Source organism: Homo sapiens, chromosome 7, assembly GCF_000001405.40.
Source record: "Homo sapiens chromosome 7, GRCh38.p14 Primary Assembly".
Classification (NCBI taxonomy): Eukaryota; Metazoa; Chordata; class Mammalia; order Primates; family Hominidae; genus Homo; species Homo sapiens.
This window is the reverse complement of record NC_000007.14, coordinates 96,035,103-96,059,978: the sequence shown is the minus strand read 5'-3', so window position 1 is coordinate 96,059,978 and position 24,876 is coordinate 96,035,103. Positions and strand designations below refer to the sequence as shown.

Here is a 24,876-nt window from a genome sequence, read left to right as displayed (position 1 = left end):
TAAAACCCTCAGTGGCTTCTCATTACCCTTTAGAACAGAGTCTAAGCCACTTAGTAGGCCAAAAAGACCATACATTATCTGACCACTGATTAGCTTTTCAAGCTCATCTTCTGTCGGTTCAGTTTTTTGTTGTTGTTGTTGCAGGCATGAAGACCTCTGTCCTGTTCCTCACACAAACCAAGTCAAGCTTGCTCCTGATTCACAGACTTTAACACTTGCTCCCTCTGTCCTCCATCTTCACAGGGCTAACTACTTTTGAAGATTCGTATCTATTAAAGTGTCCCCTCCTCAGGGCAGACTGTCCTAGTCACCCAGCTCAAACAGTTCTTCCAAACCCCCATCACTCTCCAGATCTGTTTCATTTTTTTTTGCAACATTCATTCCTATCTGAATATTTATTATATGAAATCAGTCCTCATTTTTTATGGATTCCATGGTTGCAAATTCTCTTACTTTCTGAAATTTACTTGTAACCCCAAAATAAATATTCCTAGATCATTCATGAATAAGCAAAGAGTGGCAAAAAATTTGAGTCCCCTGATGTACCTGTTCCCAGCTCAGACAGAATAAGACTACACTCCTTTCTTGTTTCAGCTCTCATATTGTAAACAAATATCTTTTTTTTGTTGCCTATTTGGTGCCATGGTTTTTGCATTTTTTTTTTTCGATTTCACTGTTTGGAATGGCCCCAAGCATAGTGCTGAAGTGCTGTCTAGTGTTCCTAAGTGCCAGAAGGCTGTGATGTGCCCTACTGGAAAAATACATGTGTTAAACAAGCATCCTTCAGGCATGAGCTATTGGCTAAGGATCCAATGTCAATGAACCAACAATACACATTAAATCAAGTGTCTTTAAACAGAAACACACATACAATAAGATAATGTATTCATAGGCTGATGAAAATGTTGTAACCAGAAGGTCGTAGGAATCAAATCCAGTATCTCCCTCAGAAGCAATGGTTCATTTAGTATTTGTCAGTTTGGCATTTGTGGCAACTTTATAGAATACAACTGTTGTACATAACAAGAATTAACTGGCCAGGTGCGGTGGCTCACTCCTGTAATCCTAGCACTTTGAGAGGCCGAGGCTGGTGGATCACCTGAGGTCAGGGGTTCCAGACCAGCCTGGCCAACATGGTGAAACCCTGTCTCCACCAAAAAAAAAAAAAAAAAAAAAAATTAGCCAGGCATGGTAGCACATGCCTGTAATTTCCTGCCTCAGGAGGCTGAGGCAGGAGAATCGCTTGAACCCAGGAGGTGGAGGTTGCAGTGAGCTGAGATCGCACTGCTGCACTCCAAACTGGGCGACAGAGTGAGACTCCGTCTCAAAAAAACATAATTAACTATATTTGTTTCTTTGGTTTCCACACTGTTTCTTCCCACCAGAATAAACAGTTTGTGAAGTCGGGGGGGTTTTGTCTGCCCTTGTCACTGTGATACTCCCAGTAACTGAACTATAGTAAGCTCTCAATAAATGGTCATGTATTGAATGAATAAGTATAAGGAATGTATAACTTGTTCTTTGTCTAGATGTATTTAAGTTACATGAAACTAACTTCAGGCAATACTAAAGGTGGACAAAACATCTCTTTTTAAAGAAGTTCTATTGATTACACAAGTTTGAGTAGTAAGATGTAGGCTATGAACCTGTTGGCACCAGAGATCGTGTCACGTTTCTATTCTTATCAAAGTTAAAAACACAAAGCATGAATTTAAAAACACATTACGTTCTCCATGAATGCTGGTTTAATGAATAAATAATTGATAAAATCTAACAAATCTAGTATTCTTTTGACTACGAGGATAGAGAAGACAATATTTGCCCTTACTTCATGGTAGAATGTCAATTATATTTGTGCTGTTATTCTTGCATGTTTTGCAATGATAACATGTTGGTTGGTATGTAAACATTGTACATTTGATTGGACAGAAGAGGAAAGATCAATGGAGTGAAAAAAAGGTGATAAATGGAGAATGGAGTAGTCAGAGACATCAATAAGGAATGGACTGAGGTGTCTTTGTAGGTCCATGGGGGTCAGTTGTGTTTCAGTCACTAGGGTGTCCAAATGAGGATGGAAATAAATTCACAATACATATAAAACCTCAGAGATTATCCTGTCCTATAATTGTTGCCAGAAATATGACTGCTGGCAACTTAATTTAATTGATATGTAATTGGTCAATAAGACAATCAGCCTATATGACACATTAATCATTTAGTACCCTGACTGAGAGCTATGGAGAGTATAGAATAGATGTAAAATATGATCACTGACCTTAAGAAGCTACAGCTCAGTGGAAAAGAGGGAAGCAACTAACACATAAATGCAATAAAAAACATTTACATCATATTCAGGTATTAAATTTTCTGGCATTGATTAAAATTATTACAATAATTGTTTTCTGACTATAGGAGTGTTGCATTATTGAGCCAGAAAAAACCTGGTAGATAATTTAGGCATCTGAGTCCACTACTAAATGGTATGTAAGAATAGGTGGACAGTTCAAAATATTAAACCATTTTATTTAACAGACCAAATTCTAACTGACCCAATTACAATTAACATAAGATGGGAAAAATATGGGCCTAGAAAGATCTCTAAATCACTCCTTTCTAGACATTTTTTTTCTTTAACTTCTACTGTGAAAACTGGAATCTTCATTAGGACTCAGACGTAGAAAAGGCCCAGTTTCAAGGACTCTGACTCGCACAGACTGAGCACACCCATTTCCAAAAGTTCCAATACTTTCCTCATTCTCCTCAACTTCTGATCTCTCCAGTTCCAGTCAAAACCCAGAAACTTTAAGGGGTTCAAATTAAGGCCACCTTGTTTAACAAGTTCTTTAATTCTCCCTGGAGTTCCTACACCCAGGAGCACCACACACTTCTCCAGTAACTTTACCTGCCCCTGGACATTTATGTGCCTAGTTTATGAGACTAATGGTTAGACACCTGTCTAAAAGTGTGAAGAACCATGAAATGCAGGTGGAGGTGTTTGAAATGATTAAGAAAGCAAGTAATGCAATTATCAGTTAGTTTCCAGAGTTATGTTTTTCAGGACTACTATTCTTTGGTATGCTTGGTTAAAAACCAATCCCGTATTTAGGTCACTCTGATAAACTTCACATGCCATATATGCAGCTCATTCGTGAAGAATAAATTAAAAAAGACCTTCTTACTACAGATGCTTGTTGACTTTAACTTTCTGCATATATATATACACACTATATATATAGTAAATATACATTTGCATATGCTATATGCATATACTATATATAGATATAGATATATATAGAGAGAGTAAATCATGGAACTCTTGCCTTTGAGAAATGCCTGTTAGAGTTCCACAGAATACAAACACTACTGTATGTTGTAGTATAAGGAAATGGCATAATGAAAAGTATATTTTGGGTAGATTATCTAAAAGGATTATGTAGGAAGAATGAGCATGGGGAGAGACCTACCTCAGAGAAACTGGTAATAATTTTGTCACAAACTTGATAAAGAAGATATAGTCTTTCTCTGCTGTTAAGGAACTATTTTCCCAATAAATAGACTTTCTTGAGTGGAGCTGGAGGAGGTCATCCTTAGAGAAAAGCATGACCACTTTAATTTATTACAGATCAAGCTAAACATAAAATACTGTAAAGAAAAGAAAGAATGTCACACACAGGTACACACTCATAGACACAAACACACTTCATTGTGATGGTCTATGGATTGCTACCTTAAGAAAATGGTCCTAATAGCAGAAGACAGCAAAACTCAGCTCATTGACTGGCCTTTGTTAAAGGAGGGTGATTGAGGGAAAAAAAAAATCAAACCAACCAGGCATAAATTAAATTCCATAGGTGGGTGGAAGCCAAGTGTCTCATGCATAACCCTCCTGGATTGGTGACCCGTCAAATCCCTTAATGTAGTTGGGTCTGGCAGAGAGGTAAAGAGGAACTCTGGTTTAAAAGTTAAGTTTTTAATCCTTAAGGAAGGTCCTAAGTGAGAAGGAAGCTGACAGATTATAAGAGACCTCCTCTTACTTTTGCCTTGGGCTTAGATCAAGTCAATGAACCAGGGGACAGAAGAGAAAGCTATTCCACTTAATCACCAATTCCACAACATTCCTTTCCAGAAACTTCCACAAAGCTGGTGCATTTCCAGTAATAAACACTGAGGCCTGGTTCCCTAGAATTTATGGGAGGGCCAGTTACTTCACTCTGGAAAGAAAAAGAAGAGTTTTTTTCTTAGTATATTTCAATATTTCTTTTACAACATCTATGTATTTCTTTACCTTGTTTCACAATTTAGTGCATAATTACACTGTTTTTTTTTAGAATAGGATATTGCTTTGTTCATCTTTATCCTGAGTCTAAATATGTTAGTTTGCTAGTATTACACACAATATGGAATGAGTAGGATTTGCCCATTAGAAGTAATTACTACTTTATTATCAACATGGGACAAAACATATTGGAAGATTATTCTCATTCTTCTGGTACTTTGTAAAGAATAACTATAATAAGAATTTTGCAGTGGAAAAATAAATATAATTATTTTTTGAAAACTATTCTTTTTTATTATACTTTAAGTTCTGGAATACATATGCAGAACATGCAGGTTTGTTACATAGGTATACCCATGCCATGGTTGTTTGCTGCACCCACCAACCCATCATCTACATTAGGTATTTCTCCTAATGCTCTCCCTCCTCTAACCCCCAAGCCCCCGACAGACCCCAGTGTGTGATGTTCCCCTCCCTGTGTCCATATTTAATAAATGGAGTTGGGAAAACTAGCTAGCCATATGCAAAAAACTGAAATTAGACCCATTCCTTACACCTTATACAGAAATCCACTCAAGATGGATTAAAGATTTAAACGTAAGACCTAAAACCATAAAAACCCTAGAGGAAAACCTAGGCAATACCATTCAGGACACAGGCATGGGCAAAGGCTTCATGACTAAAACACCAAAAGCAATGGCAACAAAAGCCAAAATTGACAAATGAGATCTAATACAACTAAAGAACTTCTGCACAGCCAAAGAAACTATCATCAGAGTGAACAGGCAGCCTACAGAATGGGAGAAAAGTTTTGCAATCTATGCATCTGACAAAGGGCTAATATCCAGAATCTACAAGGAACTTAAACAATTTTACAAGAAAAAAACAACCCCATCAAAAAGTGGGCAAAGGATATGAACAGACACTTCTCAAAAGAAGACATTTATGTGGCCAACAAACATGAAAAAAAGCTCACCATCACTGGTCATTAGAGAAATGCAAATCAAAACCTCACTGTCAGTTAGAATGGAGATCATTAAAAAGTCAGGAAACAACAGATGCTGGAGAGGAAGTGGAGAAATAAGAATGCTTTTACATTGTTGGTGGGAGTGTAAATTAGTTCAACCATTGTGGAAGACAGTGCGGCAATTCCTCAAGGATCTAGAACCAGAAATATCATTTGACCCAGCAATCCCATTACTGGGTATACACCCAAAGGATTATAAATCATTCTACTATAAGACACATGCACATGTATGTTTATTGCAGCATCGTTCACAATAGCAAAGACTTGGAACCAACCCAAATGCCCATCAACGATAGACTGTATAAAGAAAATGTGGCACATATACACCATGGAATACTATGCAGCCATAAAACAGGATGAGTTCCTGCCCTTTGCAGGGACATGGATGAAGCTGGAAACCATCATTCTCAGCAAACTAACATAGGAACAGAAAACCGAACACCGCATGTTCTCACTCATAAGTGGAAGTTGAACAATGAGAACATATGGACACAGAAAGGGGAACATCACACACCAGGGCCTGTTGCGGGGTGAGGGGCTAGGGGAGGGATAGCATTAGGAGAAATATCTAATGTAGATGACGGGTTGATGGGTGCAGCAAACCACCATGGCACGTGTATATAACAAACCTATGGCACCTATGTAACAAACCTGCATATTCTGCACATGTATCCCAGAAGTATAATAAAAAAAGAAAGCTTAAAAAATTAATTATATTTTTCCACTACAAAATTCTTATTATATCTATTCTTTACAAAGTACCAGAAGAATGAGAATAATCTTCCAATATTTTTTGTCCCATGTTGATAAAGTAGTAATTATTTTTAATGGGCAAATTCTACTCATGCCACATTGTGTGTAATACTAGGAAACTAACATATGTGAGACACGGGATAAAGATGAACAAAGCAATATCCTATTCTAAAAAAAAGTGTAAGTATGCACTAAATTGTGAAACAAGTTAAAGAAATACATAGATATCATAAAAGAAATATTAAAATATACCTAGATATGCCTACACATACTTTCCTGAGATCTAAGACAAATGAAAGTACCTCTGTCTTTTTGTCTTGCCACTTTTAAATCCCTTTCAAGAAGTCAGGACTTTGGAGAGCAGGTGTGAAAAGACTAATGGGGTTTTGGGTGAGGATTAGAAGTGCTAGTGACAGGAGTTTGTTGGAACCAAGAAGGATGAGGAAGGGAATATATATTTGGCCCCCCAAATTTAAAAACAATTATAAGTTGATAAAAAGAAAAGCCAAACTGAAGATAAAATATAGAAGCCAGTAAACATAAAGCTAGCAGAAAGGCCAGATGAGATAATTCTGCAGTGATCCATTCCAGATGAGGTCGTGTGGCAATGTATTTACAGAAATACACTTAAAATTATGTGACATCAGTGGCATAATGCCAGTCACATGTGATTATTCAGTTAAATGCAGCTACAATTATTATTATGACTATTGTAATCATAATTGGCTTCGTCTGAAAACTTAGATGTAGTGAATTGGGCGGGGCAGCCTCATGAAGGATTGCAAAAGTAAATACTCCAGTCAATGAAGTCGCTATCATTTTATGAGGTGGAATTGTGAGAGTGTGCATTCATAATCCAATCAACTACTGTGGAGATAGGAGGGATGCATGTGATGTATCCAGGGGTTACTCTGGAACATAAATACTGCTGGTAATTTGATAGAGCAGTCATCAGAGGTAGGACATTACACTATCACTGTTGTTCAAAATACTGAGGAGAAGGTAAGATGTCCTTACTGCCCACCTTCAGTCTACATGACATCAGGCAAGAGGTGATGTGGCCCTACTTTCACATAAGCTGTCACCTTTGTCATCTTCAGAAGAAAGTCTACACTCCATCGCATGGCATCACAAGGCTGCCTTTTTGCCTTTTGTCATCTGATCCCATTTTGTCCCGAGAGCTGTCCTTTCATTATTCTGTTCCAGTCACCTTGTACCCACTGCTCCAGCCTTACTAAAGCACTTTAGCATCCAAATAACAACAGCAACAATTACCATAATATTCAACAGTAATAGTGGTAATTATTACTATTGCTACATCTTTAATATTCTTACCCTATACTTAGCATGGTTTTAACATCTTTACAACTATTCACTCATTTAATCTTCACAAGAACTTCATGAAATAGGAGGTATTTTAATCCCCATTTTAGAGATGACTAAACTGCAGCACAGAGAGGTTAAGTAACTTTTCTAGGTTCACACAGCTAGAGAGTACTAACTATCTCATGTGTCTGTGTTTTTCCATACTCTGTTCATTCTGCTTGAATGCCCTTTCCTTTCTCCCTTTACCTAACTAAATTTCCTTCAAACTTCTGCTTTCTTTTTTCAATGTTATGGTTTCTTAAATATTTCCTAGTAGGATTTTTAAAGCTTAACCTCAGTTTCTAATTATTATATTTCTAAATTATGGCTATGAATTTTACTGCTCAAAACTACTGCTAACTAAATATTTGCTATAGTATGCTTTCAATGTACATCTTTTTAAAAACCAGCATTTATTTATTCATGTATTAATTCAGTGATTTACTCAGTGCCTACCAGGTCCCAAGCACTATGCCAGGTAATGGGATACAGACAAAAAACACAGGGACTTACTCTCAAGGAGCTCACAGTCTTACAGGGAAAGGATGGCAATTCTGTCCCAGTTGCATACTCACTGTGATTCAAGAGATAAATTTTTTAATCATTGTATTATTTATAATATACCCATACTTAACATTTATTGTAATACATAATCATTTAAATGAAGATATTTAAAAAGGAATAACAAATGTTCTTCCTCAGGAAAAAATGTTTCTTGTCTCTTTTATTCATAAAATTCAAATTATTCTTTTCTAGTAGCTAACAGGGAAAACAATCAGCTAAGACAGCCATCTTATATTTTAACCCCATCAGAGGATGTAAAAGTGAAATAGGTAATATTTATTGATTTCACAGTAGTTGCTTGAAAATTAAAGATTATCTTTCTAATTTGTGCAAAGTCATAATTCTCCAGTCACTTAGAAAATTTTATTCTCAGAGCAGAGTCACTGTTAAAAGATTAGAGGATTGAGATGCATGTTAACTGCTAGGAAAGATTGTACAATGTCTACAATGTCAAGATATATTCAGGGGAAGTCAGTGATTTCCATCAATCAAATGTGTATCACGAAAGGTTCTTGGATGACAGCACCCCAGGGTGGTGTCCAAAATCCACACCAAATACAAACACATGGGTTAAGTTAGGCCATATACCTGATCAGTCGACATAATGGAATTGAATTTTAAGACCCAAAAGTTGAGAGCAGAAAGGATTTAGAAGATAGATTTAATACAAATAGAAGAAACATAAGCCCATTGAAGTCTAAAGAAAGGGACTGACCTGGCAAATACATGAACAGTATCATGAACCTAAATCCCCCTGAAGTTGTACCAGGACCAAAATAAATATTAACCCAAAATTTAACTGGAATCCACTGAAACTTTCCAAACTGGATGCATTAATAAAAAAATCCAAAGACTCAGAACTTGTCTAGCCACTAAACTAAACTGCAGCACAGGAAAAAAAATTATCCAAAACCTCAGCAAACAGACAAGCTGAGTGGAATAATGAATGTCTTAATCCAGCCAAGAGTACATACTTTATTTCTGAGCATCAGCTCCAGCATGTTTTGATGGACAGGAAATTTAATGTGCTAAGATACAGTAAAAGGTAAGAGTTGGTACTCAACAGAATTTATTCAGGCAATGCATTTTTAGTACTTTTTTTTAAAGGATCATAATGGACAGACTAAAATATGTAGTTTTTTTACTATCCTCTAAAAGCAGCCTCATTGAAAAAAGGATGTTCCAAGGGACTAATCAACATTATTAAAGCAGCAAAGTCATCAAAGAAAAGGAAAATGATAAAAATGACCCCTGGAACAGGCAAGAAAGCAGGTCAGGGCAACTTTTGAAGAAGCAGGTCTAGTGGCAATCATGGGGATAAATACAGGCTGTAGAGGGTGAAACTGCAGTTTGGTAGAAAAAGGCACAAGATAAACCGAATGGGAAAGGGTATTGTTTAGGAACTTAGCACCCCCAAAATATGTAATATCATGTTTGTCCCACTTCAAAAACTCAACCTGTTCAATCCTCATGGAAAGTTTAAATAAAACCCTATAAAATTAATGGAAATATTAACTATTCAAATCACAAAGAGAATTGACAATGATTGCATTTTCTCTAAATATGCTTTTTCATTTAACTACAGTATTTCTAAGATCCCATGTAGAGAAGTTTCATTTTAAATTTGGATCTTTAAAATCATCACTTCTCTCTTTCAGTATGTGAAGTGTTATTGTCTCTCTGGCAATCATTTAGCTATGCAAAGTGAATTCATATGGACTTCTCTATAGGCTTCAGGGTGAGATTCATTTTGCTCACTGTGCTAATTCCAGCATGACATTCCCCCTCGAATACAGACTTCCTTTTTTAATATTTTATTATTATGTTAGACATGTGAATTCTTGGGCAGTAGAGTGTATAAAATGCATATTTCTGTTGCCAAATTTTCTTGTTGTCGAATTGTTTGCTTTTGATCTTTTCTGGTTATCTTTTTGAGCTATACTGTTTTTTTTTTTGTTTGTTTGTTTTTTTTGAGATGGAGTCTCTCTCTGTCATCCAGTCTGGAGTGCAGCGGCTCACTGCAACCTGTGCCCTCCAGGTTCAAGCAATTCTCCTGCCTCAGCCTCCTGAGTAGCTGGTACTACAGGCATGAGCCATCATGCGTGGCTAATTTTTTGTATTGTTAGTAGGGACGGGGTTTCACCATGTTGCCCAGGCTGGTCTCGGACTCCTGAGCTCAGGTGATCCGCTCACCTCGGCTTCCCAAAGTGCTGGGATTACAGGTGTGAGCCACTGTGCCCCACCACTATACTGTATTTTATCAACAAAGTATTATATTGCAGACTTTTAAAAAATTTGATTTCATTCTATTTCATAGTGTTGTCTCTTAGCACCAATTCTTTCTACGATTTGGAGGATTTTTCCTTATGTTATTTAATTTACAAGCTGAAGTGTGAGGCTATCACTAATCCTATTAAGACTCTATTATAAACTTCTTTGCCTTGTTTAAATGATAAGATGACTCCAAGTTACCCAATAAGTTTAAAGTAAAGATTATGAAGGTAATCATTATTGTCAAAAGGGACTACAATAATTACCCATCTCATATCTTTGTCTCCGCTACACTTCCATGAAAATTCTCATTGTCAGTAAGATGGAAAAAGGCCAAAAAACTCCATTTCCAATATTTTCAAGAGAGTATTTTTTTTACTTTGCCTCTTTTATTAAGATAAAGGTTATTTTCAGCCATAGTCCTGCAAAATGTGATTAGTAATTTTTTTTTTTTTTTTTTTTTTTGAGATGGAGTCTTGCTCTGTCACCCAGGCTGGAGTGCAGTGGCACACTCTTGGCTCACTGCAAGCTCTGCCTCCTGGGTTCACGCCATTCTCCTGCCTCAGCCTCCCGAGTAGCTGGGACTACAGGCACCCGCCACCATGCCCAGCTAATTTTTGTATTTTTAGTAGAGACGGGGTTTCACCGTGTTAGCCGTGATGGTCTCAATCTCCTGACCTTGTGATCTGCCTGCCTCGGCCTCTCAAAGTGCTGGGACTACAGGCGTGAGCCACTGTGCCCGGCCTGTGATTAGTAATTTTAAGAGATGTGATTGCTTCCTTTAAATTTTACGCTCATAGAGATTAAGAAGAGGAGAAAGCCATTAGCCCATATTGTCAAGTTTCAAGCGTAACTGTTTAGGACAACATAAAGGGTTAGAATTAATTTGGGGTTTCAAATACATTCACCGTACAAACCTCTGGCCAGAACATGTAGCATATTCATTATATGAGGAAACCTTGTTGCAGGTGGGACAATAGTTTTCATTCTCCTGTCTGAACCCTAAACTAGATCCCCAGTTCTCTAACACAACCCTGGGAGAAAGGAAGGGTCCCTCAATGTAACTGAACTGCCCCACCAGCTCTGTAGGATGGGATGTTTGAAATAGAACTTTACGGTGGTTTAGGGCATGGCTCTTTATATTTTAGCAACATCTGGATTACTTGGAAGGCTTCTAAAACACAGATTGTTGGCTCCCATCCCCAGAGTTTTTGACACAGAAGGTCTGGGGTGGGGCCCAGACGGTTTGCATCTCTAATAAGCCCCAGGTAATGCTGTTGCTTCTGATCTGGGGCCACATTTTGAGAACACTGGCTTGGAAGAATTGTAAAGAAGTGGTGCATCTCCCAAACCTGGATCTGTTCACCTGCTCTAGTAATGGTGGGGACAGACTGTGGACAGCTTTGAATGTCAGATTCAGGAGATTCCTGTAAGAGATTCCACAATGGCAATTTTACACAATTCTTGGCACTCTTCTTATCACCTCATAAAATTTAAATTAGATATCACCTATGAAATACATCTGTGATATTTAGCCCCAGCTGGTCCTCAAATCTATGCAGTTCAGGGCCCTGTCCCATCTCTTACAGGACCTGGTCTAATCCTCCTTCCTCTCCCTACCACATCCCAGTTCCCATCATCGTTAACAGATAACTGCCTCTGACTCCACCGAAGAAATGGGGGACCTTCTCTTCTTTCCTCCTTCTCCCTCCACTTCCATGTAGCTAAACTTACTTGTAAGCCTTTTTTTAGTCTTGCCAATATCCTGCCTCTTCTCCCTATCCTAAACCTGACATGGTCACTTGAAATAATCTTCCTCTGGTTTTTTCTTTTAATTTAATTTTTATTCCAATAGCTTTTGGAGTTCAAGTCGCTTTTTGTTACATGGATGAGTTATATAGCGGTGAATTCTGTTCCTCCATTTTTTAAACCATACACCTTTCACTGGCTCCTCTTCAGGCCGCAAATATACTCAGGTCTCTCAGAGAGTATAATAATAAAATCCTTCCTTGGCCTGGCTTTCCCTGCTAGTCGCCTCTCTATCTCCTTATGTTCACTGCCTCATGTCTGAAAGACTAGTCTATATTTTCTGTGTCTACTGTCTTCCCTTTTCACTCTGCAACCACTCACAATCTGTCTCCAGTGCTCCACTAAAAGTGTTCTCACTGAGGTCCACGTGACCCTCTTCTTGCCTTGCCATCTGTGTATTTCTTGATATCTCTGGTGTTTAACAGTCTTTATCACATTCTTTATTGAGCATCCTGTTCTCACGCCTCAGCACCTGCAGCATCAGCAGGTCCAAGATTGCATTCATAGCCTCTTCAATTCATGTTCTATTATAATGTTCACCTTTGGAATAAATGATGGATCACTGTCATATCTATATTTCTAACTCATCCTTTGCCCCTGAGCTTCAGTATTACGCTGTCAATTGAATATTTGTGTCCCTCCAAAATTCATATGTTGAAACTTGATCCCTACTGTGATAGTATTAAAAGGTGGGAACTTTAGGAGATGATTAGGTCATGAGGGCTCCACCCTCATGAATGGGATTAGTATCCTTATAAAAGAGGCTTCAAGGAGCCTGTTAGCCCCTTCTTCCATGTGAGGATGCAAGAAGAAAGCACCATCTATGAGGCAGTGAGCACTCACCAGACACCAAATCTACTGGCACCTTGATCTTGGACATATCAGCCTCCAGAACTGTGAGCAATAAAGACTATTGTTTATAAGTTACCCACTCTAAGTTGTTTTGTTATAGAACCCTGAATGGACTAAGACAAATATCTTCAATTACATTGTGGGAATTTCCAGACACCTCAGTCTAAGCATGCCCAGACCACTGATTTCCTACCTCTAACCCAAGCCCACTCCTCCCCTTGCATGTCCTGTCTCAGTCACTGGCACCACCATTCTTCACTCAGATGCTAACGACAGAAATATCAGAATCATCACTGACTCCCCTCTCAAATCAGGTCTGCTGGTCACTGCATCTGGTTGATTTTATTTCTCAGATTGGTGTTCTCCTCCACAAGCTCACTGCCTAAATTCTGGCTCTCACCTGGATGACCAAACCAGACTTACAACTGGGCTTCTTGTCTCCAGGCTTAACACGATGGTGTGGAAAAGAACACAGTCTTTGGGGTCACCCAAATCTGAATTTGAATCCCAGTTTCCCCACTTATTCACTAAGAACATCAGGCAAGTTATTTACGCTCTCTTGTGCCTATTTCCTCTTATATAAAATGGGATACTAACATCTACTCACAGGTTTATTGTGAGCATTTAATGAACTAATGTATTTCAAATATTTAGCACAATGCCTAGTACATAGTATGACCTCGATAAATGTTGATCTTGGCTCCCCACACAAATTCATCTTCCACAGTATTCCAAAGCAAACTCCTTAAAATCAAATTTTGATTAATTCTCTCCTAAAATGACTTGTCACCACCTAGAAAATAAAAATAAATCAACACAATCAAGTATAGACCTATCTTTCCAGCCTCATTCCCTAAATGGATCCCAACCTTCCAGCCATTTGGATGAAAATGGCTGCTTGGACATTTGTTGACTCAGCTGCCTGGAATGCAGCCTGGTTCTCTGTTTGCCAGGTAAACCACTCCGACAAAGTTTCTGCTTCAATGTGGTCTTCCCTGACAGTGGTTAATGATGAAACGTGGTGCGGCAGGAGGTGCTGTGGGAGTAGAGGGAGGGCAATGTAATGTGTTTTAATTCCCTCTCCCTTCATGCTAACCTCATTGTGCTAGAATATGTAACGATTAGCATCCTCTTCTGAATCCTTGGCCCCTTTTATTCCGTCTCCCCTTCCCATTCCCAGTGGGGTCTCAGAGCATTTTCTAGAAATCTCTATTAGTACTTATTTCACCGGAACAAATCACTCACTGCACTCTTCTTTCCCGATGTTCCTACAGTTCCCCTGCCCCACATCTCTTATTCCATGATACATGCCTTTGCCTCCAACCTCAGCCTTCTCATGGGAAGCTACTTCTCCTGCCTGCCTCAGTGGAATCCTAGCTCTGCCCTAACCTCACCACCTCTTCTGCCATTTCCTCATGTAGAAGCTGTTCATTATCATGTATTCTATTTCAAGATAGTGAGAGGGTCAGCTTCTCACTTGCTCTTCAGGGCTATTTTACCGCTTCTTAGGCCTCCAGTAAAAAGTCCTATTTCTTTTAAGCTCAGGCCATCTGGCTGTATCATTCTCTACCTCTTTTGATGTCTCCTCCTAATTCACTGAGGACTTTGGTACTGTGATCGCTGTTTCCTTTTCCATCCCAGTCTAGCTATTTTCTGGCCCACTCCAAAGCCCACAACACACCAGCACCTTGACCTTTTGTGACGTCCTCATTTGCAGTGAATTCCACCCTCACTAGACTTCAGCTATACACATGACCACATCCTTGACTTTTTAAAAAAATCACTTGGAATGATTTCAGTTGTGAAATACTAAATCCAAACATCTCACTTTCTAACAGTAATATCTTATGTTACTAATTCTCTTATTCAATTACTTCCTTCATCCTTGTTCTTTGATCTTATAGGGGCATCCAATCCTTTGCTCTCTTTACTTTCTCCTGTCTGTTTTTATTTCCTTTCTGCTCCAGCTTAGCATCCTTAGCCTATAACATCAGAAGCTTTCTTGTCCATATCTCCCAATTCCTTGCTCTATTGCCCCTCCATCACACTCTGGTAAGGCTCCTGCCCACATCCATCTAACTTTGCCCTTCATTCATTCCCATATTTCCACTGCTGCCCTTTCTTGGAGGAAATCAGTCCTGAAGATTGAAGCTGCTAAAACATTCTGGTTTCTGACCGCAACTGGACCCACCACACTGACCACAGTCCATCTTTCATTCCCTAATCAGCTCTTCCTATTCTCCTCTGTGATCAGCTGAAATCTGCTCCCTTCAGTAGCTCCACTTCCCACTCAGCAGAGTATTTAACCCCCTACAGCATTAAGAAAATAGCCATCACAGGAGAGTTTGCTCTGCTTTCCTTCACTAACTCTACACACGGACACACACATGATCCCATCCTTACCTGCTCTTCTGTTACAACAGAAGAGATGTTGCTGCTCAGATTTAAAATTCACTTCCCTGTCCATGCTATGAATTCATTTGTGGCAACATTTTCACGGCCCTTTCTCTACCTTACACTTACAGATTTTCTACTCTCCTTCACAGGCTCTTCCACAGCAGCAACATCCTTGAGCTCTCTCTAATCTCAAGAAGAAAAAAAAAAAGGAAAGAAAACATCTTGATTTTAATGCTTTCTTGCTTTCCACTCATTCTTTAACGTATTGTAATTTTTTGTCCCACCCTCAACAAACTCCAAAGACACTGCTTTTGCCATGGACACTAGTGGCTTCTGAGTTGCTAAATACAATGGACATATTCCCGTCCTGATGTTTCTTCTCTGAAGTATTAGCCATTATTACTAATTGCTTTTTCTGCCTTTTAAAGGTTCTTTATTATAGAAAATTTTAAACATATTCAGAGATAGAGAGACTAATATCAATCATCCAGCTTCAATAATTAGCAATCATGACCAATGTTAGTCACCTACATTCACAAGCTCTCCCATTCCCAACTGCTTATTTTGAAGCAAATCCCTAATATCATATAATTTGTTCTGTATTTCAATATGCATCCCTAAAAGGTAACACCATTTAAAGTGATCATAACAATTATTGGCCAGACACAGTGCCTCACACCTGTAATCCCAGCACTTTGGGAGGCTGAGGCGGGTGGATCACGAGGTCAGGAGTTCGAGACCAGCCTGGCCAACATGGTGAAACCCCATCTCTACTAAAAATACAAAAATTAGCCAGTTGTAGTGGCGGGCACCTGTAATCCCAGCTGCTCGGAAGGCTAAGGCAGGAGAATTGCTTGAACTGGAAGGTGGAGGTTGCAGTGAGCCGAGATGGTGCCACTGCACTCTAGTGTGGTCAACAGAGAGAGACTACATTTCAAAAAAAAAAAATTACTAAAAATAGTACTGCATGAATATCATCAAATATACAGTTAGTATTTGCATTTCCCTGGTAGCCTTGTAAAGTTTTTCACCTGGTTGCTTGTTTGAATCAAGATCTATGTAAGATCCATATTTTAAGATCCACTGAAATGTCCCAAGTTTTGTTTTGTTCTGTTTTTTTTTTTTTAATACATTGTTTCCACTTCCAATTTGCCCTTGAGGAAAAATTTTTGGTTTTGTTGCAGAAACTAAATCAGGTGTCCCGTAGATATGCCAGCGGTCTGGGTTTGGTTGATTGCATCCCTGTGGTGTTATTTAATGTTTTGCATCTGTATCTTCTAAATTCAGAGATCTGGAGGATTGATAAGATTCAGATTCAATTTTGAGTGTAAGCCTACTTCAAAGGTGGTATTGTGTATTCTGTAATTATGAAAAAGGTTGTTTCTATTTTTACAATATTATCAGCAATAATCATTGCCTAGATTATGGTGTTTGCAAAATGGTGATTTTCAAATTCTGTCATTTCTTTCTTTCTTTCTTTCTTTTTTTTTTTTTTTTGAGATGGAGTCTCACTCTGTCACCAGGTTGGAGTGCAGTGGCACGATCTCGGTTCACTACAACCTCTGAATCCCTGGTTCAAGTGATTCTCCTGACTCAGCCTCCCGAGCCTCCCTAGCAGCTGAGATTATAGGCAGACCCCACCACGCCCAGCTAATTTTTGTATTTTTAGTAAAGATAAGCATTCACTATGTTGGGCAGGATGGTCTCGATCTTCTGACCTCGTGATCCACCCGCCTCAGCCTCCCAAAGTGCTGGGATCACAGGTGTGAGCCACAGTCCCCGGCCCATTTTTTATTCCTATATTAGCTGGAATTCTGTAAAGAAAAAGTCCCCTCATCAATGATTTAGTAACCCTGAAATACAATTCATATAGAAAAGACAGACTACATGTTTTATTCTTTCATTTACTCACTGGTTTTCAAAATAATGAGTTTGTTTACCTAGTATTCTCCATAGGTGGCCAAAGAGGTTTTTTATTTGTTTGTTTTCTTCAGTATTGTTAGGAACTCATGAATCTATTACTCTTATTGATGTTGTCTGGGCCAACAGAAGCTTACTCAACTTGGTTTCCAAGTCCTTTGACAAAAACTTTGTAGTGTTTGGTAGCATCTTTGCTTGTTATAATAAAATAATCTCAGTTTATTTTATAAATTTCCTGCTCCGCGCTTAGAATCAGTAATTTCTTCTGGGATCCCTGGTTTCCTTGAGTGGAAGCTGTATTTGGGGAGCACATTCTGGGCATCAGGAATGTCATTGCTATTGAATTGGTCACCGTTCCCAGGTCTTTTTGGTGAACAGAGCAGTGAATATGTATTCTTTTGTATTGAAAGATAATACACACCATGAGTTCTTAGTATACTTCCCACTCAGATTCAGGATTACTACAGAATTGTTACTTAACTGCATGCATCTGTATCTCCTTTCAACCAAGCTGATAATCTCAGTTCTCAATGACACCAACATAGTAATTTAACTTATGTTATGATATAAATACAATGGCCTCAGGATAGCAGTAGCAATATGACAACCAGCAATATGAGTACTAGAAGTAGTTTAGATTTTAGATTTTTTTTGGTAGTTTAAAAAAATCCTTAAAATATATCCCTTTAGGAATGTATACCAAACATACAGAGTTTTAAAGTCACTTCAAATCATTCTTTCATGTAAGATTTTGCTACCAATTTGAACCACATTAAAGTTGATTCATGTTACTTTAAATTTTTTAGGAATCAATTTTTAAATTTATTTCATTTTCTTTTATAACTATGTAAAATATTTACATGGTTCCAAAATCAAATGTAAAAATAAGGTATATTCAAAGAAGTCTAGCTATTATTTTTTTCTTTTAGCTTCCTGTCTTGCTATAAGTAACTTTTTTGTTTATCCTTTCAACTTCTAATTATATAATTATAAACAATGATAATATACTATTTGCACTTCTCTCCACTTTGCTTTACTCATTTAAAAATGTATCTTAGGGATCACTCCATAATAGAACATAGAAGTCTTCTTCATTTTTTCTTATACCTGAATAATGTTACTCTCTTGGGTGGAGGTACCATACTTTTGATTCACACAGCACTGTACTGATAGAGATTTTTGAGTTGTATTCATTCTTTTGCTATTCAAATAATCTTTCAGTGAATGTCCTTCTCCATATGTCTTCTGTCTTATTTTTGCTGGTATATCTTTGGCATAGATTCCTAGAAGTGGAAATTGTTCTGTTAAAACATGTATTATTTTTAGATATTGCTAAATCCTCTTCCACAGTGTTGAGCCATTTTGCATTTCCAATGGAAATGTATGAGAACAGCTGGTTTCTTTCGGCCTCATCACAGAGTATGTTGCAAAACTTAGATTTTTGTCAATCTGATAGTTGGAAATATGTTTCTCAACTTGGTTTTAATTTTAATTTCTCTTATAAATGAGGTTGTTATCTTTTCATATAGTTAAAAGCAAATTCTGTCCTCTTAACATGGTTTTTTCCATTAATACCCATGAAGCTGCAAAGAAAATTCTAATTTGTCTTCTATTTCCTGGGTTACTTTTTCATCTCCCTTTTCTAGTTCAATTTCTATTTATTTCCTAAGTATTGCTCTCCCTCCAGATTGCATGTTAGTGTTTCTTTTAAAATCCACTGCTGGGCCAGGTGTGGTGGCTCATGCCTGTAATCCCAGCACTTTGGCAGGACAAGGCGGGCAGATCATTTGAGGTTGGGAGTTCAAGACCAGCCTGGCCAACATGCGAAACCCCATCTCTACTAAAAATACAAAAATTAGGTGGGCATGGTGGTGTGTGCTGTGGAATCCCAGCTGCTAGGGAGGTTGAGGCAGGAGAATCACTTGCACCTGGGAGGCAGAGGCTGCCGTGAGCCAAGATAGTGCCATTGCACTCCAGCCTGGGTGACAGAGCGAGACTATGTTTCAAAAAAAAGAAAAAAAAAAAAAACTACTCATTTGTGAAGATCACTGCTATTCTAGTGCATACGTTCTGTTTGGAGGGCTCTCTCTTCTTCTGACTCACATATCAAACTGCTTAATGGAGATCTTGAAATGCCTCTCCCGGGCACCTTTAGCTCAACATATGCAAAGCTCTGCCCCAGCATGTCCTTCCCCTGCTGTTCTCCAGTGCAGTGAGTGCTACACTCACCAGCTGCCCAGGTCTTAAACCTGGGTTATCTGCTGATGACTCCCTCTCCTACCTTCCTTCTATCAAATCAATCACCAGTTTCTGTGGCTTTTATCTCTTAAATGGTTCTCAAATGCATTTATTTCTCTCCATCTCAGACTACTGGTTTAAGTCACTGTCATTTCTTTCCTAGATTATTGTGCCTTCCTTCCAAGTGGTCTCAGCTTTTCTTCTTGCTCTCAAGCATGGAGAGAATTATATTTTATTTTACTATTTTATTTTATTTTATTTTATTTTAATTTTGAGATGGAGTCTGGCTCTGTCACCCAGGCTGGAATGCAGTGGCCCAATCTCGGCTCACTGCAACCTCTGCCTGACAGGTTCAAGTGATTCTCCTGCCTCAGCCTCGAGAGTAGCTGGGACTACAGGCATGTACCACCATATGTAGCTAATTTTTCTATTTTTAGTAGAAATGGGGCTTCACCATGTTGGCCAGGCTGGTCTCAAACTCCTGACCTCAAGCGATCCACCCACCTCGGCCTCCCAAAGTGCTGGGATTACAGATGTGAGCCACAGCTCCCAGCCAGAATTACCTTTAAAAACATAACATAGGGCCATTTACCAGCTTAAAAACTTCCAATAGCTCAAAATAAAAATAAACAACCAATCAACGAACCAAACAAAAAAAAACCCAAGTCCCAAATCATATATTTCCATAGGTACATATGTAAGTAAGTAGATACCACCAAGCTCCAGAACATAGACATGAAACTGATAAAAGTTTACCCCTGGGGAGGGGACTGAGGTGCAGGCAGTGAAGGGGGTGTTGTGGATGGGGTTGGGGTTGGGGTAGGTAGAGGAGGACTGCAGCTTTATCATTATTTGAATTGTTTGAATTTTTTATAGTTAGAATATTTTCAAGTATTACCTATATGTGTAAAAGTAAATAAAATGGACTTAACTAGCTCTGAGGTAGACTGAGCTCACCAGAAGGTATATGAATTCCCAATGCCAGGTTGCCTGGAAGAGGCTTTAGGGACAACTGTTTCCAGGGAATGAAAAACCATCCTCTGCCCTTATGTATTATCTGAGAATTTCAGTCAAGATATTCTTACCTTGGTGGTCCACAGTTTGACAGTCCAGTCAAATGATGATGTGACAAACAGGTGAGAAAAGTCGATTGGGCCCACTGCCATGTGGCAGTTAATTCCTGTCACTGGCCCTTGGTGACCTTCAAAGACCTCACCAATACCTGCTTTGCTGTAGGAAGAGCACACATGAGCAGAATTCCAGTGACCTCTGAAAAGCAATGATTGCTTAAAAACAAAACAAAACAAAAAACCCTCAACTCTGCATCTCCATAATTTAGAACAACCACACACCACCAAAATGAAATCATTTTTACAGTTATCCTGAAAGAAATTGTTTGCAAATATGTTACCCTATTTTTCATTATTTAAAAACAATGTAGGGCAATGAAATCTTTTTAAAATACAGAATTTAATATCAATATTTATTATTTAATTCTTTTTGCAGAATTCCTCAAAGCCTATCATTGCTGATGCAGCTATTTTAATGGAAACAAATACACTTAGGTCTCTGAAGCTTTTATATTTATAAGACTATTTTATTCTTGAGATAGCATTTTGCACATGGTCTGCTTTATCTCCTTTTGGGGAACCTATTGACTATAAAACTCCATCCATCCTTGAAGGAACAATCATTTATTTTTTTCAAGTAAATTTCTTAAATTACTTTAACATAGCTGAAAATGTAACACTTTGTGGAAACCCTTGTCACCACAAAATAATGCACATAATTTAAATATAATATGGAGAAAATAATGTTTTCTCTTTACTGAAAACAGAAGACAGATTTACATATCCACTGTAAATCCCATACGGGCAAGTATCTTGTCTTTCTTGTTGCCAAGTGTCTGGCATATAGTAAGTGCTCAATAAATATTTGTTGAATAAACTAGCTAAGAAAAAGAGACAAACTTATGTCTCAGTCCTTTTTTAAAACAGAAGCACATTTGAGAAATAATGATAGACATTTAAAAAATTACACACAGACATATCTTGCTTATTTAACTAAGCTGTTATTATTTGCAGCCCTCTATTATCACATAGTATTCTGCATGCAATCATATACAATTAGGAAGATGTGAGAAAACATACCAAAAATGCTATATTTAAAATATTCATGTGCATGAGGTTATAAATATGACAAATATGTAGGAATTGTAGAATCCTAATATTATGTCACTAAGAATAAAAACGAGCTCAGTTATTAAAACATTTGGGCCTCTGGAGCACCAATAAATGTCAATGTGCTTAGCAAAATTTGGAATCATGAGCAAAGTGTGGCAGTGCGTGTTCCATGTAACAGGCACTCAAAAATTATGCCCAGTGAAACTGCTAAGAGCAGTTCCACACATGATCATTTAAATTTGTTCTAATGAACCCGAGGAACTGATCTTTGAAGTGGCCCCTGGTGAGACTCCACTTGCTCTTAACAGCATCCTGAAAGGATTTATAGGGTGCAAAATGAGGACCTTGTTTAATTTATGGAAGTGGATTTGCACCTTCTCTATGTTAGGTGAAAAATAGCAATCCCCTGCTTCTCCCCCATAGACCTATATGACCCATTTAGAATGACTACAAAGCCAATGCCTGCTACGTTACAATGTTACTAAGGTCTGTATTTTATATTTCAGATGGATGGACCAATGTAAAGCAAAATTCAGCTTGTTGTAAAAAGATTTGTGGTGTGTGCCATAGGGACCCTTCTTTTGAACCAAAGTGCATATTCTGATAGTGCTTAGAAAGTACAGTAGCCACAGAACAAGAATGTTCATCATGTAAAATGTTATTCACTTTATAGCAATGAAAAAAATCTGGAAATTATCAATGAATGTATTCTATAGCCTTCGTAGATAATCAAGGACCTAGGTAAAACCATGGGTTAAGTTAACTGAACCTATGCCATGTTGATTCTAATACGCATATAGATAAAGCTGTGACTCCAGGTCTGGCCTACTATACTCTCTATGCCTCTCATGCCACTTAAGACATTCTACTCATGTTCCAGATATTTGTGTATTTATCTTTCTCACCGTCATCAGTTATTTTGAAGAGAGAAACCAGGTTTACATGACGTCTGCAGGCCTTGCAGAACCTAACAATGCACTTTGCTCAAAGTAGGCATACAACAAATATATTTATGAATGAATAACTTTATCAAATATTTTTATGCTTTGATAAAGCTTTAATGTGTGGTTTTAGCCAGGGTTTATGAAGGAGGATCATTGGGAATGGACTGTGAGGCATATCTTCCTAAGTCATCTTTGAATCATGTGAGGGGACAAATACTGCTTGTTTCTACGTGCAGAACAGCAGGAACATAACAGCTTGTATAGTTTGAATGGAAAAAGTCACATAGCTGAGCCATGGATGCTTGTCATTTCTACAAATCACAAAAACACAGGGATATGAACTTGGAACAATTTGTGGTTCTTCATTAAATCTTAATAGCCTCGGATGAGTGCAAGAGATGAAAAAAAATCAATGGAATAAGAACTACTAAAGTAAAAGACAAATTAAGCACCAGTGTGAACATAGTGACCCTTTCAAAAGACATGAGGCCACCTGTTAAGTTTTGCATGCAATTTTACAATCTAGTCCAAACTATTGGATTCCACTTTATACTGACAACTCTTTTCCAGGGGCATTGTGAATCTCTCAGTTAAGGTAGAGTTCTTATCACCTGGGAACTGCATGGTGGTTTGTGTGACTCACTCTGTTCTGACCCATCTGACTGGGAGGAAAGCTTTTAAGGCACTTCTTTAGATTGGATGGATTACATTATATATCATTTCTTTATCCCCAATATATATTTTTAGCTCCTCACTTACTATGTCCTAGGTACTGTGCAGGAAATCAAAGATGAAATGGAAATAATGTAGTAAGAGAAAAATGGCAGATGAATGAATAAACTAAAATACGATTAATGCTATTATAGAAGCATAAGGAAAATATATGAAATTGTCAACTTGACAGCCTATAGTCCTATCCCACTTATTCTACTTTAATTTTCTCCATTGCACTTACCATCCTAAACTATATATTTATTTGCTTATTAGTATTTTACCCTCAACTAGAATATGAACTCTAGGTCTGTCTTGTTCTTTAATGTATCCTTTTGATGATGCCTGGCACATGGTAGGTTCTTAGTAAATATTCCTTGGAAGAGTGAATGAATAAGAGAATTGAAAATTCTATGGGACTTAAAGGTGGGAGTGGTTTTCTTTGCCCAAGAGTCAGAAAATGTTTCACATGGAATGATCTCTGTGCTGGCTCTTGAATGATGAGGAGGAATTAACCAGGCCAAAAAGGGAGAAATGCTAGAACTGGTAAAAGAAGTTGAGTATGCAAACTCATTGAGGCATGGAGGGATAAGAAATATTTGGGGATTGTTATCTCTGATGGGCACATGGCTAGACCCTGAAGGTATGCGGAGATGCTGGGAAGGTGCAAGTGGTCTGTTATGATAGGCTCAGAAGCTCGAGCTTTTTTCCCTCAAGGCAGTGTGAACCACCACAGTCTTATGAACAGCTAATGACCAGAGCAGATGCAGCTCTTTAAGATAATGAAGAGTTGAAGTCGTGCTTTCCATTTTTCCAGAGATGCTTTCTCATAATGCAAGGTGGTTAAAATCCAGAATGTGATAACAGACTTTCGGAAATGAAGAACATGTCATCAGTAAAGAAACAGAAAAATCACCTTCCATGACGACAAGCCGTGTAGACTGTACCTTCCTCACTGCCAACCACGAAGTTATTGACGTCTCCCGTTGGGAAAGCCATTCCGGTAACAGCGACAGGCTTGGACTTATTGTACACCAGCTCCATGCTCTCCTACCAAAACACGGTGTGGTTACATTTCCATCTGTCAACTCCTTGCCATGCCAAAGATAGCACGGAAAAATCATTTGGCTAAATCATGTGTTTGCTTTTCACACAGCGTTACAAAAGACCCCGGCTGTGCCAGAAACCATGCTTTACTGCCCCTGACATTCATGCTTCTGTGGATCTCTGGTTTCAAGCCGGCTGGATTTCATCAGCATGTGCTGCTGCTTCTTAAGTCAGGCAAAGATGACAGGTGAGAATTTTGAAACTAATGGTGCAGAAACTAAAGATAATAATGGTTACACTTGTCAGCTCCAAGCTTTAATAAAACACACAATACCCTTGTATTTACAAACATTTTCAAAATCAATTGTTTGTGAGAATACACATGTATTAATATCAGATGTACTAAGCAAATTTGTCAAAGCAGGAGTATGTGTCCTCCATGGACTAAAACCAGAAAGTTGTCACTCAGGTCATAAAAACCAGATTTCAACAGGGACTAGATTTCATGCAGGGCAGCCA

General features: G+C 38.2%; 1 protein-coding gene and 1 long non-coding RNA gene across 6 annotated transcripts in view; both read right to left on the bottom strand.

Moving 5' to 3' along the window:
• Positions 1 to 24,876, bottom strand: part of DYNC1I1 (dynein cytoplasmic 1 intermediate chain 1) — a 337,769-nt gene that overhangs the window by 50,344 nt on the left and 262,549 nt on the right. For all 5 annotated transcript variants that reach the window (NM_001278422.2, NM_004411.5, NM_001278421.2 and 2 more), the window contains 2 exons: positions 24,227 to 24,360; positions 20,558 to 20,702 (listed from right to left, as the gene is read on the bottom strand). In NM_001278422.2, coding sequence (NP_001265351.1) covers positions 20,558 to 20,702; positions 24,227 to 24,360 — 279 coding nt within the window. The remainder of the gene's footprint in view (positions 1 to 20,557; positions 20,703 to 24,226; positions 24,361 to 24,876) is intronic.
• Positions 1,723 to 9,997, bottom strand: LOC124901701 (uncharacterized). Its single transcript, XR_007060441.1, has 2 exons — positions 7,935 to 9,997; positions 1,723 to 4,211 (listed from the first exon to the last, which is right to left on the bottom strand). It is a non-coding gene; the product is annotated as an uncharacterized LOC124901701 (long non-coding RNA).